This window comes from Homo sapiens, chromosome 2 (assembly GCF_000001405.40).
Source record: "Homo sapiens chromosome 2, GRCh38.p14 Primary Assembly".
Taxonomy (NCBI): Eukaryota; Metazoa; Chordata; class Mammalia; order Primates; family Hominidae; genus Homo; species Homo sapiens.
In genome coordinates this window covers 32461935-32479932 of record NC_000002.12, presented here as the reverse complement: position 1 = coordinate 32479932, position 17998 = coordinate 32461935, and the positions used below count along the sequence as shown (strand labels likewise).

The 17998-nt window shown below is 34.8% G+C and overlaps 1 protein-coding gene across 50 annotated transcripts in view; it reads right to left on the bottom strand.

Moving 5' to 3' along the window:
- The window catches only part of BIRC6 (baculoviral IAP repeat containing 6), a 261856-nt gene that overhangs the window by 138946 nt on the left and 104912 nt on the right, over positions 1–17998 (bottom strand). For 11 of the 50 annotated variants that reach the window (XM_006712055.4, XM_005264450.5, XM_047445165.1 and 8 more), the window contains 14 exons: positions 16552–16739; positions 15110–15424; positions 14769–14868; positions 12194–12408; positions 11822–12030; positions 11150–11496; positions 10319–10538; positions 9632–9765; positions 8782–8919; positions 6694–6821; positions 3589–3720; positions 2350–2565; positions 1115–1298; positions 316–471 (listed from right to left, as the gene is read on the bottom strand). In XM_006712055.4, coding sequence (XP_006712118.1) covers positions 316–471; positions 1115–1298; positions 2350–2565; positions 3589–3720; positions 6694–6821; positions 8782–8919; positions 9632–9765; positions 10319–10538; positions 11150–11496; positions 11822–12030; positions 12194–12408; positions 14769–14868; positions 15110–15424; positions 16552–16739 — 2682 coding nt within the window. The remainder of the gene's footprint in view (positions 1–315; positions 472–1114; positions 1299–2349; positions 2566–3588; positions 3721–6693; positions 6822–8781; positions 8920–9631; positions 9766–10318; positions 10539–11149; positions 11497–11821; positions 12031–12193; positions 12409–14768; positions 14869–15109; positions 15425–16551; positions 16740–17998) is intronic. The other 39 variants (XM_005264451.5, XM_047445167.1, XM_047445159.1 and 36 more) reach the window with 7 other exon arrangements.

Below are 17998 nucleotides of genomic sequence, written 5' to 3'. Positions count from 1 at the left end.
ATCTTAAAGAATAAGAGCTTTTAAAACTGCTGTCTTCATCACTTTGTATTTTTACATGTTTTCTACATTGCATTTTCTTCATCGTTGCCAAATCACACTATATCAACATAATTAGGATATTATGAAATTATAGCATTTTGTTGTAATGAGAACCAAGATAAAATGTATTTACCAGGAAAATAATGGATCTAGTTTATAAGGCCAAAGAACTAATAGAAAAATATAAAAATCAACTTTATTTTTCTCTAACATTCTTTATTTTGAAACATGTTTCCATTTAATAGAATAAAGAAGAAACATAATGTAAAACTTTACCTGTTATGTCATGTGTCAAAGGTTCATCTATAGTTTCCAGCAACTGAACTGAGGACTGTTGAAGGGAGTCATCAGAGTCACCAGCTGTCGCACCTACATCATCACCCACTGTTCCTTCCTCCATGGCTTCTGCGGCTACTGGAGCCAGTAATTCTCCTGTATGTAAGGGGATAGTCCTGTTTTAATAATTTATACAGATTTCGAAAATGTATTACAGCACATTTTTTTCCTCCAGTTTAGTCACTGACAGAATAAATGCTCTACTAACTATAAAAGAATCTGAGGCAAATGAGTTCCCACCCCCGTAAGGAATGCTAGGACTCACTCCATTACTTTCAAATGCTAGAGACAAGTATCCAGTAAACACATAACATGTACAAAGAGTTATTTTAATTACTGTACATACATTAACACGCTTATTCATAAAAACAACCTTATACAAAGATTATCCTTATTATCCTTATGTTATATATGAAGAAAATGAGGCAAAGTGATTTCCCCACCCAGTAAGCAGCATACCACTGATGTTAATAATAAAGCAGGCTAGCTCCAATATTCATGCACTTTAACAACCCAAAGCCTTTCTAAAGCCTTGCATTTATCGCGACTATCAATATACTTAAATACAAAAGTAATTTTCAATGGTTGCTACTGCTATAACATCACACCGATTAAACAGACCTTTATGCTTTTAGGGGGTTAAAGATCCCTCTAGGGGTTAAAGATCCCTTTGAAGATTCTTAGTTGAGCAATGACAAGGTAATTTTGACATACTCTATGAAGAAAAATCCTAACACACCTGCTAAAATATCTTGTAGCATGCAAGTTAAGGAATACTGAGCCCAAGCACCACCCCAAGATATATCTCCTCTATTGAAGTCAGTTCCAACCAAAAGTAACAGCAGTCTTTCCAGCTGGGGTTCGTTCACAATCTCACACAGATGAATAGTTGGCCTCGTGGCATTTGCAATGCGTGCAAGAACCTGTAATACATTTTATAAAATCATACACTTAAATAGCAATTACATGTTTTTTCAAACACTAACAGAAGTCTACCAATACTTTAGCACTGAACAATAGGTTTCAACAATGATGTATGAGTCTGGTATCAAAAAAAATTGCTTGAGATGGAATGCAAAAAAGAATGTAATTTCATGAATCAAATATTAAAATCTGGTTTAAGATCTAATTGTATAGTTAAGAATTAAATTTCTACGAACAGTGAATATGCCACAGAAAAGCAATCATGACATTAAAAGTCCTTCTTCTTTTTTTATTTTTTTGAGACAGTCTCGGTCTGTCGCCAGGCTGGTGTGAAGTGGCGCGATTTCAGCTCACTGCAACCTCATCGCCCCCAGGTTCAAGCAATTCTCCTGCCTCAGCCTCCCGAGTAACTGGGACTACAGGTGCATGCCACCACACCCAGCTAATTTTTGTATTTTTAGTAAGGACGGGTTTTCACCATGTTGGCCATGATGGTCTCAATCTCTTCAACTTGTGATCCGCCCCTCCGCCTCCCGAAGTGTTGGGATTACAGGTGTGAAGCACCACACCCAGTCAAAAGTCCTTCTTTAATATAATTTGACACTTACTTGTGTATTTCCTATTTTAATTAATATAAGAAAGGCAGGTTGGAGATAAACATATCCACATTACTTACATTTCAAACCCTCAAGTTTTAAATAAATTAAAATATAAATCAGATTTCCTTAAGGAAAAATTTGAAAAGAATTTTTTTCATCTTTTAAGACACAATAAAAAAACTAACTGCAAAAAAGCAAAACCAAAAGAGGCATCATTTCTCTTAATGAAAATTGACTAAAAACATCATCCTTTGCTAGTTTTTAATTAACCTATAAGTCACTTTTTTTTTTTTTTTTTTGTAGAGACGGGGTTTTGCCACATTGCCCACACTAGTCTGGAACTCCTAGACTCAGATAATCCACCCACCTCAGTCTCCCAAAGTGCTGGGATTACAGGCATGAGCCACTGCGCCCGGCCAACCCTGTAAGTCTACACTTATAGTTTACATACCTTACAAACAAACAATAAGAGATCTGCATGACATGTAAAGTCCATGGAGAGAAGAAACAGAACAAGTTTCTGGACTACTGAGATACAACGCTCATGGGCCAGAGTAAATGGAAGTGGTTCTATCTCAGGACTTTCTTTTGCTGTTGTAACTTCTGTGTCTAAATTAGAACGGGACCATTCTGCTGTCCGACGTAAACGAATTAAATCCTTAAAGTGCTGCACACAAAAATGTATAGTGTTTAAATCAATGTTTACTTAATGAAAATTTTTTCAGTATAGATTTATGTAATGAAAATATCCACTCCATATTACAACTTCTAAAGAGCAAAATTTTTAGATACACTGTAAGTTTCAAAAGTAAGAATATTAAAAGCTAAACTGACCAATATACCTTACTTCCTATTTGGAGTAAAGTATCAGATATGTAACAGAGTTTCAGAAAAGTGAAATTCTACAGACATTCAATGTAGATAATATATTAAGTTATTAAGTCAAATCTAACAACATAAATATTACCGTAACATCCTAAACATAATTTGTAAAAGCTTGAAGGTAAAGAAAACTAATATAACATCAAGTACAAAATATTAATTCGAGTTACTTCAAAATCTGGCGGAATAATCATAATTTCATGTTATAGAAAGACTACAAACTTGTTTGATACATACACGGTATCCCTCAAAATTTTAAAAAGTAAACACCAAGGTTTTAAAACTTACAAATCAGTTGAACTTCACTTTCACTTACAAAAGACATACTACATTTGAGCCTTGTGAGCACCACTGGACCCAAAGAAGTTTCAATTCTAAACTCAGCCACCAAAATATTCCAATAACAATACTAAGGGTAAAGAGAATGCCACATTTTTCACTTTACATATACATTTTATTTGTGAGGCTGATACAATAATATTTGCAATCATCTTGTATAATTTTGTATTGTAAAATGGAAATAAACTGCTCTATCAATGCCACATTAGCAAAACTATACATTCCACTATCCTTTATCTTCAATTTACTGGAACTCAATCCACAATGAAGGTAATACATTACAATAATACTTAAATACCACATTTATCATACATTTCCTTCAGTTAAACTACCCCACCAAAAAAAAGTCCAGAGTAGGTTGGCTTCTCTGTTAAGCAGAGTAATGTATATTTAAGTTTCTCGATCGTAATTAAAGATCATAACTCCTTGACTTTTCTGAGATAACTATATTGAAAAGTATAGATCATACCTTTGAAGTGGCCTGCTTTAGTTTTGCTTGTTCTACCAGGAGTTTATATGATGATCCTTTGTTACTTTGTATTTTTTCTTTTTCCATCTGTTCTACCAATGCCTTCTGCTTTGCTTTTAGTAGGTTAAGTTGCTTTATAAAACAAATAAACAACTTAATCTTTAACAACGTTAAAAACAAAAAAATTATTATACTCCTCACAGAATTCATACATCAAACTAATGGAATGCACATTATCTTGAAAGATGTAGTATAATTTTAACTGTGATGATAATTTTTTAAAAAATCATTTCAAATCCTGACTTTGAGATCTCTCCCTGTTTTCATTAAAATCTCCCTTACCCATGGGAGTAAGAAATAACTGGAAGACTTTCTTATATAAGCCACTAACATAATCGAGCGATATATATTTTTTAATAGAGAGAAAAAAATTTACTTTTAATTAAATAAATGAGAAAAATATTTTATTGCTTAATATTTCTTAGCTTTGTTTTTATGGAAATCTCAAGAGTAGTACACATTTTGGTATGTCTATATTTTTTATTAAAATTTGGATTGAGATCATTGTAGTTTTTTGCTACAATGTAGCTTAAGAAATAATTAAGCTATATATAAATAAATTAAGAAATAATACAGAAATCTCTTGTACACTTTACCCAATTTTCTCTAATGATATTTTGCAAAAACTATAGGATAATATCACAAGGTATTGACATTGACAGAATTTGCCAACCTTATTTTTCCATTTTTAGTTGCACTCATTTGTGTTTGTCTGTGTACGTATTTAGTTGGATACACTTCTACATGTGTTAGTTCATGTATCCACAACAGTCAATACCAAAAAATGCCACCACAAGGTTCCCTCATATCCTTTTATAAGTATATCCACACTTCCCTCCTATCCTATCTCCCCCATCCCTAAACAACAGCAATCAGCAGTCGACAACAATGAACAAACAGACCAAAGAAGAGAAAAAACTCTCTGTTCATAAAGACCTTACAATCTGGTGACTGTGTTCTCCATACAGCATGTACACAGAAAGTTACTTTAAATATAAAGTACTAGAAAGGTATAGCCACAATTATAAATGAATAATAATTGAGTTAGCAGCTTATTAAGTCTTCCTTCTCAGAGAACACTTTCTAAATTACTACTATTGACACTTTTTTTTTTTTTTTTTTTTTAAGATAGTCTTGCTGTGTCACCCAGGCTGGACTAGTGGTGTGATATCAGCTCACTGCAACCTCTGCCTCCCAGATTTAAGGATTCTCCTGCCTCATCCTCCTGAGTAACTGGGACTACAGGCACACGCCACCACATTGGCCAGGCCGGTCTTGAACTCCTGGTGCCAACTGATCCACCCGCCTCAACCTCCCAAAGTGAGCCCTGCCTGACACCTGTTTTTGGTATCAGGAAAAAAAACATCACTAACGTTATTTTTAAAAATCCACTTGGCTGTTATCTCCATAGATGAAAAAAACTCTATCCTAAATTAAAACTAGCATGTACACATAATTTTTAAAACGTTAACTGAGAATTTCTACAAATCAGTATTTTCAGAAAATAATTTCCAAAGTTCTACCATTAACGTATGCAAGAAATATAATCAAGAAAAAAATCATTTTTAATTTTTTCTGAAACAGCCAGTTTTAATTATTGTACAAATACAACTAGTTTTCACTAAGCCATTTGGCAGTAAGTTAGTAACCTGATGACTAATCGCCCTGATTACTTTCGTTTATAATTCCTAGAAATAAAAACCTTCTACAAATCACAGTTACAACCATCAAAATGAGAGAAGTAATACTGACACCTGACCACCAATTATCCCTCAAGGCACCTTTTAAGTTTTGCCAACTGTCCCAATACTGTCATTCATAATGAAGAATCAAATAATGATATTTTACAGACAAATATTCACTCAGAGACACACTAGGTTTTGTTTTGTATCCTAATTAAATGCACTGAGTATAAACATTAAAAGATACAAATTACTACTACCTAAAATTGGTTAAAGGTCTCAAAAAGAAAAGGTAATTGAGGAAAATGCTTCTCATTTTTCCTGCAAAGGATTGAACTAGCTCATAGCTGAAAAACTTAGAAGTGAAAAATAAAAAACGTATTGCCAAGTCTACCTTTAAAAAAAAGCCCCATAAATCAAAAAATTTTTTAAATATAAAAAACAAAACAAAAAATTTGAAAAGCCCAAAGCTTTCACAACATGCCAGAGCTAAGGATTTTCATATAGAATCTTCTTACATCTTAAAGCAATAATAAAAATATTGTGTGGCCGGACACAGTGGCTCAGACCTATAATCCCAACACTTTGGGAGGCCAAAGTAGAAGAATCGCCAGAGCCAGGAGTTTGAGAGCAGCCTGGGCAACAAAGCGAGACCCCATCTCTACAAGAAACAATTTACAAATTAGCCTGGCACTGTGGCACACAGCTGTAATCCCAGCTACTCGGAAAGCTAAGGCGGGAGGACTGCTTGAGCCCAGGAATTTGGAGACTGCAGTGAACTATGATTGTTCCACTGCACTCCAACCTAGGTAATAGAATGAGACCCTGTCTCAAAAAAAAAAAAAAAAAAATACACACACACACACACACACACACACACACACACACACACACACGAAAAAGGAGAAAAAAGACATGGAAAAAGAAACCAAAATTAAAATCTGGAAGCTAGATAGAGGGGCAGAAGATGAATACCCTGAAGCCATGTTAAAGAGTTTGACCTTCATCCAAAGGTCAAACAAAAGCCACAGAGAATTACATGAAGGAAAATGGATTGAATTAAAGCAGAACAAAGGAAGAGAGGTTTTTGGACTAGGCAAAAGATAATGACAACCTCATTTAGAATAGTAGTAATAGAGATGTATAACAGTAAATGTTAAAGGAACATCAACAAAGTCTGTAAACTATACATTGTCGTCATTTTAACAATTAAGGAAATTGAAGTCTCCAAAGTGTTAGATGATTTTCCTAAGCTAAGAGCCCATTAAATGTTATACCTCACATCTGATGGCACATCTGTCTCATGCAAACTCCAAAACAATATTCTCAAACATTAAAAATTTTTAAATATATTGACAATTACCTGTTTATGATGAACAAGCTGCTTTCTGATTTTTCTGGAATATAATCTATCAAGGCTACTGCTGCCTTTAGAAGATCTATTTAAGCTCTGAGTGTGTAGATTATTGTTAATAAAACTCCACTGATTACCTACAGGCGAAGGAAAACTTGTATTAATAATTCTGTTAAATGTGATTTTAAAGTACCTTTCCTACCCAGAAAACAAAAAACACAGTTATACATGTGTCAATCATGAAAAGCAGTTTTAATAAGAAAAACATTGTAAAGAAATTGCTAGAAGATCTGATTCTATAAAGACTGGATAACTGTCAATTATCTAATGTAGACCCTAAATCATTTTAAAACCAGAGTTCCCTCTGTCTCCAATCTTTCATTTAGATAATAGCTATTTTCCTCCGCAATTAAGATTAATCTCTATACAACTTTGATGATGTCATTCAATTTCAACAACAAATACTACTATTGCCTATTTCAAACACAGACGCTTTTAATCAGGAACCAAAAAAGGATACTCAATAATTTAACTAATAACTACCAAAATAAGGTTAAATAGTTCAGAACGCATAACTGTCTAACTATACTTACTCTCCTTTTTTGGAATATTTCCAGACTATTCTGTTTCATTCAATTTGGGCCCAATAACACACTTTACACCCATTTCCAATCCCAAAACATCTTTTCCTAATCCTAAAAACATTTTTCTCTCTTTCCTACCTACTTATCAAATCTTAGTTCAAGTTCTTCAAACCCTAAAACTCTTCCACCAATGTTTCCATAGTAGCCACATGTATAAACACAATCCCAATACTGTTATATTCCAAGATTACATTACAGTTTATTTTATATTTTTCTTTTTTTCAAGACTGTTTCTCAGCCAGGTGCAGTAGCTCACATCTGTAATCCCAGCACTCTGGGAGGCCGAGGCGGGTGGGTCACTTGAGGTCAGGAGTTCAAGACCAGCCTGGCCAATATGGTGAAACCTCGTCCCTACTAAAAATACAAAACAATTAGCCGGGCGTGGTGGTACACGCCTATAATCCCAGCTACTTGGGAGGCTGAGACAGGAGAATCCTGTGAACCCAGGAGGTGGTGGTTGCAGTGAGCTGAGATCGTGCCACTGCACTTCAACCTGGGCCACAGAACGAGACAAGACTTTCTCAATATGAATGTAGTTTTATTTATGTTAATTGTATTTCTTACCTCTATATCCTACAACTGAGTAAACTAATCATAGATATACATTATTTTTTAAAAATCAATATAAAGCAAATTCCTTATACATATGAATTCCCCATCATCTTCCTAAACATAATATGCACTATAAACAACTGATTCCACTATAACATCTCAAGGGAACTCTTAAAAATACTGAGTTCCTGACAATGTACAGAATTCCAAATTTTATGGATTTCAATGGCTTACATACTACATGTAAGCCATATGTAAGCATATGTAGGCTTACATATCTCAATGGCTTACATACTGGATTTAGGTATCTCAAATCCTTTATTTAAAAACCCTTATTTTCAGAACAAGAATCTCTGAGGAAAAATAAAAATAAAGAAAAATAAAAAGCCTTGTTAACTGGGAAGAGGGTAATAAAATAATGTTGCAGGTTGATTTCCTTTAATTTTTAAATTTTTCTGTGCTTTGAACCTATAAAGAAAGCTTACAACTCAAAATCTGAGAATTTCTGTATTTAAAAATACAGGCCATTTGTAGTTAATTAGTAGATACCAATAATGCTAAATGAAATGACACATCATACTAAGAAAAAATAAAAACTCTGATTTCCCTTTCATAACTCACTTACATGCATGCTATTATAAAGTCTTTAAACAAGCCTGAGGGAAGACACCTTGCAAAAGTCATAGCTGCATTTAGAAACTAAAAGTCATGTCCAGACAAAGGAGCTTGTCTATAAAGTCCACCAAGTATAAATGTTATCTTTAAACAGAATTGTAGTGAAGTTCATTTGTATTTTCCTTAAATTACATACAGCTGGTAGCTCCAGGCCAATAGCCAGTTCTGGAACAACTGCGAAGTCACTCAAAATCCCCACCAACATATTATTATAAACTTCTGATACCTGTCAGAAACCTCTCCCTGTCTTTACCATTCAAAGGTTTCTTTGCAGCTGCTGCTTCATCTTCAACAGTTGCCACATAATCCAGCAACCTGGACACCAGCATAACAACCCAACTGATCATGGGAATATCTAGTACTCCTGGAGAGAGATGACAGCAAAGGAAAAACATCCAGATGACTTTAGGATTCCTAATTAGATCTGATAATATAAGTGAAACAAAACATTCTATAAATCCAAAACATATCTTATCATTACTAACACTAATATTTATATGTAATAAGTCTAAAAAATAGACACCAACAGCCAGAAACTGAGTAGAACATCAAATCTAATGAAAGACAAAGACTTCAAGGTATAAGAACAGATTAAGTGCAGGCTGAATCCAAAATGGACTATATAAACTAGAAAGCAAGGTATAAGATACTATTCTTAGATTCACAGGAACTGAAATAAAACATCTAACTCTCAACTTATAATTCATATAGCACTAAACTAGGTTCTAATGTTTTTATTCCTATAAAAAAGTGTGTTCAAACAAAACTCATTATTGTTGATGGGAACAACAACTGTGCCTTACAGCTCAAACTTATGTAAGGGAGTTTGACTTTAGTTATAATAGTACAGGAAAAACATACTATACTAAGTTCAAATAATGAAAAGGAATAAATTTTAAAAGTATTAACTATATGGCAGTCAATCACATGAGGGTTGCTCATTCTTAAAAGCTTACATCATAAAAATATTAAATGTGCTGCAAATAATTATTAAAGTATTTCAGAGAAGATATTTTATAAAAGAAATATTTGCAGGAATATTGTTTTTACTAAAGAACACTGCTTTCTCTTAATACCTTCTGTCCTCCTATGCATGGGTAACTGTGGCTGAAGAGGTGACAATAAATTATCCAAGAGATTAAGTAAGCTTTCTAATACTCCACTATTACTAAGTGATCTTTGACCAATGCAGGAAAGTAACATGAAGACCCTAAAAACAAAACAAACAAAAAAGAAAAGAATAAGAATCAATTCGATTGTTCAATTTTTAAAATAATTTACATAGAAATTTAACAGAGTAATGATAGAATATTTGCTTTCTTAAAACATACCATATTTCAGACTGGGAAAGCAAGATTTGTATCTGGAGGTATGAAGCTAAAATTAGTTTTTTTTCTAACTACTGGTTACATTTTCTAATGTTATTAACAAGAAATCAAGCACTTAGTGAATGAGAGAATTTTATTAGCCACAAACAAACACATTTAGCATATAAAGCAACATAATCTAATAGAAATACTTATAAACACAGATCTATGAAGTCCACAAGTTCAATTAGAAAACTAAAGAGTAGACTCTAATTATCACTTATTATCTTCTTCGATACACAGTGCTGGTGCCCTTCACTGGTCATTTCACAAACTCTGAGATCTGCTTCATATTCACAACTTAGTATCCACATTTCAAAGATTTCAAAAGCTAACCAGTAACTGTGAAAAGTACACATCATTAATAACAAATACCTCCAACATTTTCTGACCTACCTATCCTGTGGAAAGATGAGAAGCTGTTCCGAATTGTACAATTCCTGAAGGACATTAGAAAGAAATTGACCCCACCACCTTTCACCACCACACAGTTGAACAAGAAGAAGACCAGTATGTAACCGTATCTTTGGGGTTCCACTGATGCACAAGTGTTTAAAGAGCTCTTCACAGGCCTGGGCATGAAATGTGCTCTGCAAAACTGCAGGAACAGAGTGTCCTATTACAAGAAAGAAAACAGTAAACTTTCCTATTTAAATGTATTGTATAATATTAAAATACGCATGCCTAAATACACTTTCCTCTTTTCTAGTAATCAGTAGATAATTATATTCTATTTATTCTGCAATGTATTTACTCCTTGTATGTAGAAATCTGTTACATACTTGGAGACGAAAATATTTAGCACTTAAGTAAATTACATTTCTTGCCTATGGAGCTGGATGTGTCAGATGGCTGTGTCAGTGAATGTGTGAGCTCGTGTAATGATCAAAAATACCTCCTGGCTAGAAAATGATAGCTCTATATTAGGTTAGCAATTTATGAAAAGTTTCACTGTTCAACTTCAATGCAATACTTAATACTTTGCCAGTAGCACAATGATGTGCATGTCAATACCAGAAACCCAAAAAAAACACACACAACTTCATTTAAGAAATGTTTAAAATAACAGGGAGAAATAGATTAACCTAAAGAGACATTTCATAAATACTGACATTTTTTAAAATACCAAAATTTACAATAGAAAATATTGACACAGATCCTAAAACATGCAGCGAAATCACATCAAGTATATTCCCAGCCTTTAAAATATGTAAGCCAAATACAAACCATTAGAAGCATGAAGCAGGCTGAGCAAAGTGTCCAGTAAATATCTGATGATAGTACGTAACTGCTCTGTGGAAGATGTCTGAATTAAATCTTCTGGATTTGATGTTTCACTCAACATCTTCCGGCTTGCACCTAGCGCCACTTTGAGCCTCTGCACTGCATTATGAGCCAAATTTAGTTGAAGCTGTAGCTGAATACAATCTTGATAAGCAGAAAAAACCCTACTGTCTTCCTCAACTGCCTTATCTGGTTTTCGTAAAAAGTACTGTGCATTGTTAGCACTGTTTAGAGGAGGAAGATCAATACTTTGCAAAAGGGTTTCCAGACGATGACAAGCCAAGTTATACCTAAAGTAAAAAAAGATTGAACAAAATAATTCTTGTAATGTCCTCTTTATGTACATGTACAAATACTAAGAATTAAATCTCTTAAACCTGTTAACATACAACCATTAAAAAGAATTACCCACTTGATAGGTACTAATAAATGGAGCCCATTAATTAATCACAATATTTTCACGCATTAAGTGTTATTGTAACGTGCTAATCTCCTACTTCCTCTTGCTCTCTTATCTGTACACCTATGAAAAGACATTTCTTGACAGAATTATAAGCAAGACATTATATAAAATACAAAGTTTCAATAACATTAAAATTTGCACTCTGTACTAACCTGCACTGTATATCCTCCTGCAAAGCAACCATCATTGCTAAATGCTGGTCAATTTCTGGCTGGTTTGCAGATTCTCCCTCTCCCTTTAGAGGATCATGCATTAACTTCAGTTCACTTTCCCAAGGCAAGATGTAGGTATGACCATAGTAAAATCCTAATGGGATTTTGGCTCTGGCATTTGTACTCCCGTAACGTCCAATAACAGTGATCTGAAATGAAAAATTATAAATATACATATATACACATCTGCCACAATAAAAATCTGAGCAATGTATTTAAAAAGATAGTTATATTTTTTAATTATATATTCATTTTTCATAACTTGTCAGAAACATAGAAAGCGTATCAATTTACTTTCTTAAAGTTCTTTACCTTCATGAATCTGCACACGGGAGGTGGTATTAAGTCATGAAGAATTAGTGAATGAGTGCTTATATCAGTTGCCACTACCAACCGCCTTCCATCCACCTCTTCTCCTAATGTCCAAATGTCAATTGACAAAGAGGCCAAGTCTCCACAAGTGGGAATCAATACATCAGTCAACAATATAGGCCTCCCAAAATCCAAGGTCACAAATCTTCTTGCTCCTATGAGAGAAAGAAGAAACAGTTGACCAAAAATATATCAATTAACCAAATGATACACTCAAAAATAATTTGGAGCACTCATCTTAAAATATGAAAGCAACTCACTAAACTATAAATAAGAGGAAAAGTAAATATGTAAAAATGGCCTTGTCAATTGATTCAAAAATTTTCTGAAATCCCAGTCTGTGTTAGTTTTGAACCCCAAGACGTAAGTAGAAAATTAAGAGTAGCTGGGCACAGTGGCAAGTGCCTCTAGTCCCAGCTACTGGGGGACCTGAGACAGGAGAATTGCTTGAGCCGAGGAGCTCCAGGCTGCAATACACTAGACTGCTACTGCACCTGTGAATAGCCACTATACTCCACACTGGGCAATACAGCGAAACCCCTCTTTTTTTTTTTTTTTTTTGAGACGGAGTCTCGATCTGTCGCCCAGGCTGGAGTGCAGTGGCGCGATCTCTGCTCACTGCAAGCTCCGCCTCCTGGGTTCACGCCTTTCTCCTGCCTCAGCATCCCAAGTAGCTGGCACTACAGGCGCCCGCTGCCATGCCCGGCTAATTTTTTGTAGTTTTAGTAGAGACAGGGTTTCACCAAGCTAGCCAGGATGGTCTTAATCTCCTGACCTCGTGATCCACCCGCCTCGGCCTCCCAAAGCGCTGGGATTACAGGCATGAGCCACCGCACCTAGCCACCCGTCTCTTTAAAAAACAAAAACCAAAACCAAAACAAAACAAAAAAACAACAGTAAGACTGCTACTGTTACAGTTAAGGCAATCAACCACTATACAAACAAGCTTCTTTAAAACATCAGAGTTTTAAAAAATTAAATCAGCAAATGCAGTATATTAGTTAATTTTGTAAAGGATCAATCTGCTCTTCTTTCAGCCATTGGCAACTTTTTTTCTTAATTTCACAACTAGATGCATTTAAATACCAAATAGTATTATTTGATTTAGTTTCCTTAAGCCCTGCTTAACTTCCTGTGAAGTTGCATATTGCATTCATTGGGGTTTAGATCCAAAGTGAAAGCAGGACTACAATCATATATAATCAAAATACCACTGAAAAAGGCCTTGGGAAGGTCCTCTAATGGATCTCAAACAATGCTTTTTCCCAGTATAGACATATCCCAGTCTCTTCAGCTCAATGCCAGATGAGATAGGTAAAGAAAAAGCAGATTTACATCCCTCATTTCACCCACATTACAAGAATAAGTTCAATTAAAAAACAGAAGGCAGATCATTAATAATGTCATAATTCTTTTTCTTCCTTATTGTTTTGGGGTGGGTCAGCTAGTAATCTTACCAGCTACATTTTATAGTGAAGGAAAACAACTAAATTAAACTTCTAGGAATAGTGCTATTCTCGACAGAGCTAGTTTAAAAGAAAACAAGGCAGTTACTAATACTTCCCTAACAAGAAAAATTATTAAAAAAAAAGAAAGAACATAGTTATCCTCCTCAGGAGGCTTATGTACTACAGTCATTGCTATGTATAAAAAAACAAACTACAGTGTAAACAACTGCTCATCTCCCATAAGACTTCAGAATAACAAATTTCCACTCTAAATGTCATCAACACTAATGTTGTTACCAATGAATGATTAGTTGGGCAGAAAATACTGTAAGACTTTTATTTTAGCTTTCAAACTCCCTCTTACAAAGAGGAAACAACCACATTGCAAGAACGCAAATACTATTTAATTCTTCATATAATGATACATGCTACAGTGTATACTATAACCATGTTATTTCCCTGAGGATTTTGTTGAATTCTACTGCTGCTAAAGCACAAAAATGTTGGTGGTAGTTAAAACCAACTGTTTTAAGAGAAAAGTTGCCTAGAGTTTATTCACAAATATGTTGTGATTGAAAGCATCTATCCCAATGTCAGTTCTGTAGCATATAAGCAGAAGACAAACTCAGGTAACATTCAAACTATTCAGAGCCTAGGATATGTTATTATTCTTATCCAGTTATTACAGTAAGCAGTAGTTCTGTTTGCTCTTCTCAAGAAAGAGTTCTACTATAAGAAGGCTAGTTTTAGGAATATTTTGAGTGTAATTTCTAGTATAATGGTGATTTGACCAACTACAATAAATTATTTATGTCAATAATGTATCAGCAGGCAAGATTCATATATAGATCAAATCCATTACTCAACAGCACTCTTTATGCAATTTGGTGAGCACAAAGCTTGAACATGTAAGTGCTTATTCTTGATAAAATGTACTTAACCCAAGAGGAAACGCGATTTGCAAAAAAAAAAAAAAAAAAAATCGAACTGAAGAATAATGAGTCTTTAAAAGGCCGGCAGACTAAGCAAAAAAAAAAAAAAAAAAATTTAAGAAAGTAAAAGATTACCTGAATGCATTCGCTCTATAATAATGGACTGGTGAGGCGGAGGTTGAAGAAAATGTGAAGCATGAGAAATTGCAAGGGCTAGACCAGAACCAAGTGGATTCTAGAGCAGGGAAAAAAAAAAAATCTAACTTTATATTGATATTACTATAGTTCTATAAAAACTACTAACCATAATAGCAAATTAATAAGTTTCTTCTCTTAATGTATGTACTGTAATATTTTATAAAAGAAAATAACTTGATACATCTAGTTGGTATTAAAAATTTTGCCTTCTAAAGTTAGAGTATATTTCAAGATATTTTTAAATGTCTAAGCCAACACCTATTTAAAACATAATTTACCATTCTGGACTTGTTGGAATTTTTGTTATGTGCAGCAAGATTGACTGCTGGGGGATCAATGACTGAGCCTGGGAAAAGCTGTGCAAGTTCGGCATTAATCACAACGGAAACTGCTTCATTGGGTGGAGTGAGTGGTGGAGTCATAAAAAGAGGTGTTGTTTTTGGAGTGGGTGGAATAACATCAGATGGATGAATGAAGAATCCAGGGGCAGCCACTGGGTTGGAAGGCACAGAGTTGTGAACAGGACCTACTGCTGATGCTGCTGCAGCTGCTGCAGCTGTTGTCTGATGTAACTTGGCTTCCAGCTTTGCTTTCTGCAAAAGAAGTAAAAGCAACATATATAGACTAATCCTGCCTACCTAAATTGTGGCAGAATACCACATGGACATATATTATGAAGATAAACATGATTAAATTGATCATACTTAAAGATGAAATTAAATCAAAACTGGACTCGATATAAATGGATCATTGCTTTGCTATATACACTTTAAATGTTTAACACAAAATTTCCTGTGCATTTGGGAACTAGGACTCTTTCAAGGTAGTGGTGAAAAGGAAGCAGAACAATTAATGTAAATAAGGAATATCTGCTCAAAACAAAATATTATAAGGAGTTGAATTCTCATGTTGACTAATGTAATACAATTTGTCACCTGGAATTGCCAAAGATTTCATTTAAACCAGCGGTCCTCAACCTTTTTGACACCAGGGACCAGTTTCATGGAAGACACTTTTGCCACGGATGCGGGGAGATGTGGCAGAGGCGCAGGGGACTGGTTTCGGGATGAAACTGTTCCACCTCAGATCATCAGGCATTAGACTCTCATAAGGAACATGCAACCTAGATCCCTCACATGCACAGTTCACAATAATGTTCATGCTCCTATGAGAATCAAATGCCCCTGCTGATCTAAAAGGAGATGGAGCTCAGGTGGTGCTTGCTTGCCCACCGCTCACATCTTGCTGTGCAGCCCAGTTCCTGAAAGGCTATTTATTGGTACTGGTCCATGGCCCAGGGACTGGAGACCCCTAATTTAGGCCACAATAAAATTTATGAAGCATCTGTCATTATTAGTGAATTTTAAGTCACATTAAATTTAACTGTTCTATAAAATTTTGTTTTAGGAACTATACTCCATATAAATAGTAACTAGTAACTGTACATATTCTTTGATCGAGTGTGTAGAGAATGGATTTACTTCAAGATTGCACAAAAAATATCAATCATATTCCCTCAAATATGTATCAAATAAGATGTATTCATACAATTTTAACCAATTTAAATATCACAAAGACTTTACCTCAATTTTTGTTGAAACTGATTAGCTCAGATCAGTCAACCTACGTTTCTTTATGAAAATAATGGTCATTTTTAAAGTACTTTTTCAGCTTTTGAAGTTTAGAGACAGCATGAACAAAGAGCCAAATAGTCTCCAACCTGTTGCTGAAGCTTCAAAAGCTGCTGCTGTTTCTCTTGCAGCACCTGTAGCTGTTGCTCGGCTGAAGCCATTGCATGAGAGAGAGACTGCAAAGCTACCTGGGCTGCTGAACTCAGGGCTGTCGAGGCTTCCCCAACTGTCCCAGATGATAGTCCACCTACTGCAGGAGTAACCCCGAAGGAACTCACTGGCATAAGACAAGGGGTAAAAACAAAAACAAAAAACACCAGGATGAAGAAAAGGTTAAAGACAAAACATGTTCAAATATTTTGGCACTATTATGATGCTAAAACTATAGTTAATTTTCATTCTAAAAAAGAAATCTGGAAAGTATAAATAAGGAAACAATGGTAAAATAAAGTATATTGATAATACTATCATTCAAGATCTAGGAAATACAGGAATGACTTTTTTTTTTTTTTTTTTGAGACAGGGTCTCACTCCGTCACTCAGGCTGGAGTGCAGCGGCGTGATCTTGGTTCACTGCAACCTCCACGTCTGGGTTCAAGAGATTCTTGTGCCTCAGCCTCCTGAGTAGCTGGGATTAGAGGCATGCACCACCATGCCTGGCTAATTTTTGTATGTTTAGTAGAGATGCGGTCTCGCCATATTGGCCAGGCTGGTCTGGAACTCCTGGCCTCAAGTGATCCACTAGCCTTGGCCTCCCAAAGGCTGGGATTACAGGTGTGAGCCACCACGCCCAGCCCAGCAATGATGAGTTTGCAAATATCTTTGTTATAGTAAAGTGATCATTAAAAATGAAAGTAATCTTATTACACAATTTGAGGGTAAGAAATAAATTTGCTTTACTAAGTTTTCTTATTGCAACAACACACCCCACTTCACCTACCAAAAGGACCCCAGAACACCAAAATGGAGAGAGGCATATCCCACACACAGTAAAACTAGCACACACTTCTTACCCATGAACATTATCAGTAATAAAGGCTCTGTGAAACCCTACAACAGATTTCTTTGATTTTCCATTTCATTGTTATTCAAACAACATTATAAATAATTCTTTCTGCATTGTTTTCCAATATTTATGAGAAATATATTGGAAAAGCTGGGATAAAAACTTCATTTCACAACTTAATCCAATATGTCAGCACAAAACAAAAGGTAGTTGCCAAGTTTAATAACAGCATAAATATTTCTAACAGGCCTTTACTACAAAGTTACATTGAGGGAAAAGATAACTGCTATAAGAATAGCAAATATTTAGTATGCATTACCATGTGGCATTGTTTTAAAGAATAACTACAATTCACTTTATGGGCAACTTTATGGCCCAGGCATCATGATCCCCCCCACCTTTTTTTTTTTATTTTTATTTTTTTGCTGATTAAGTAAAGAAGGCTCAGAGAAATTAACCTGTAAACTCACAGTAGAACTAGGATCAGAACCAAAGCGTATGTGAAGCCAAAGCCAATGAAGGGCATAGTG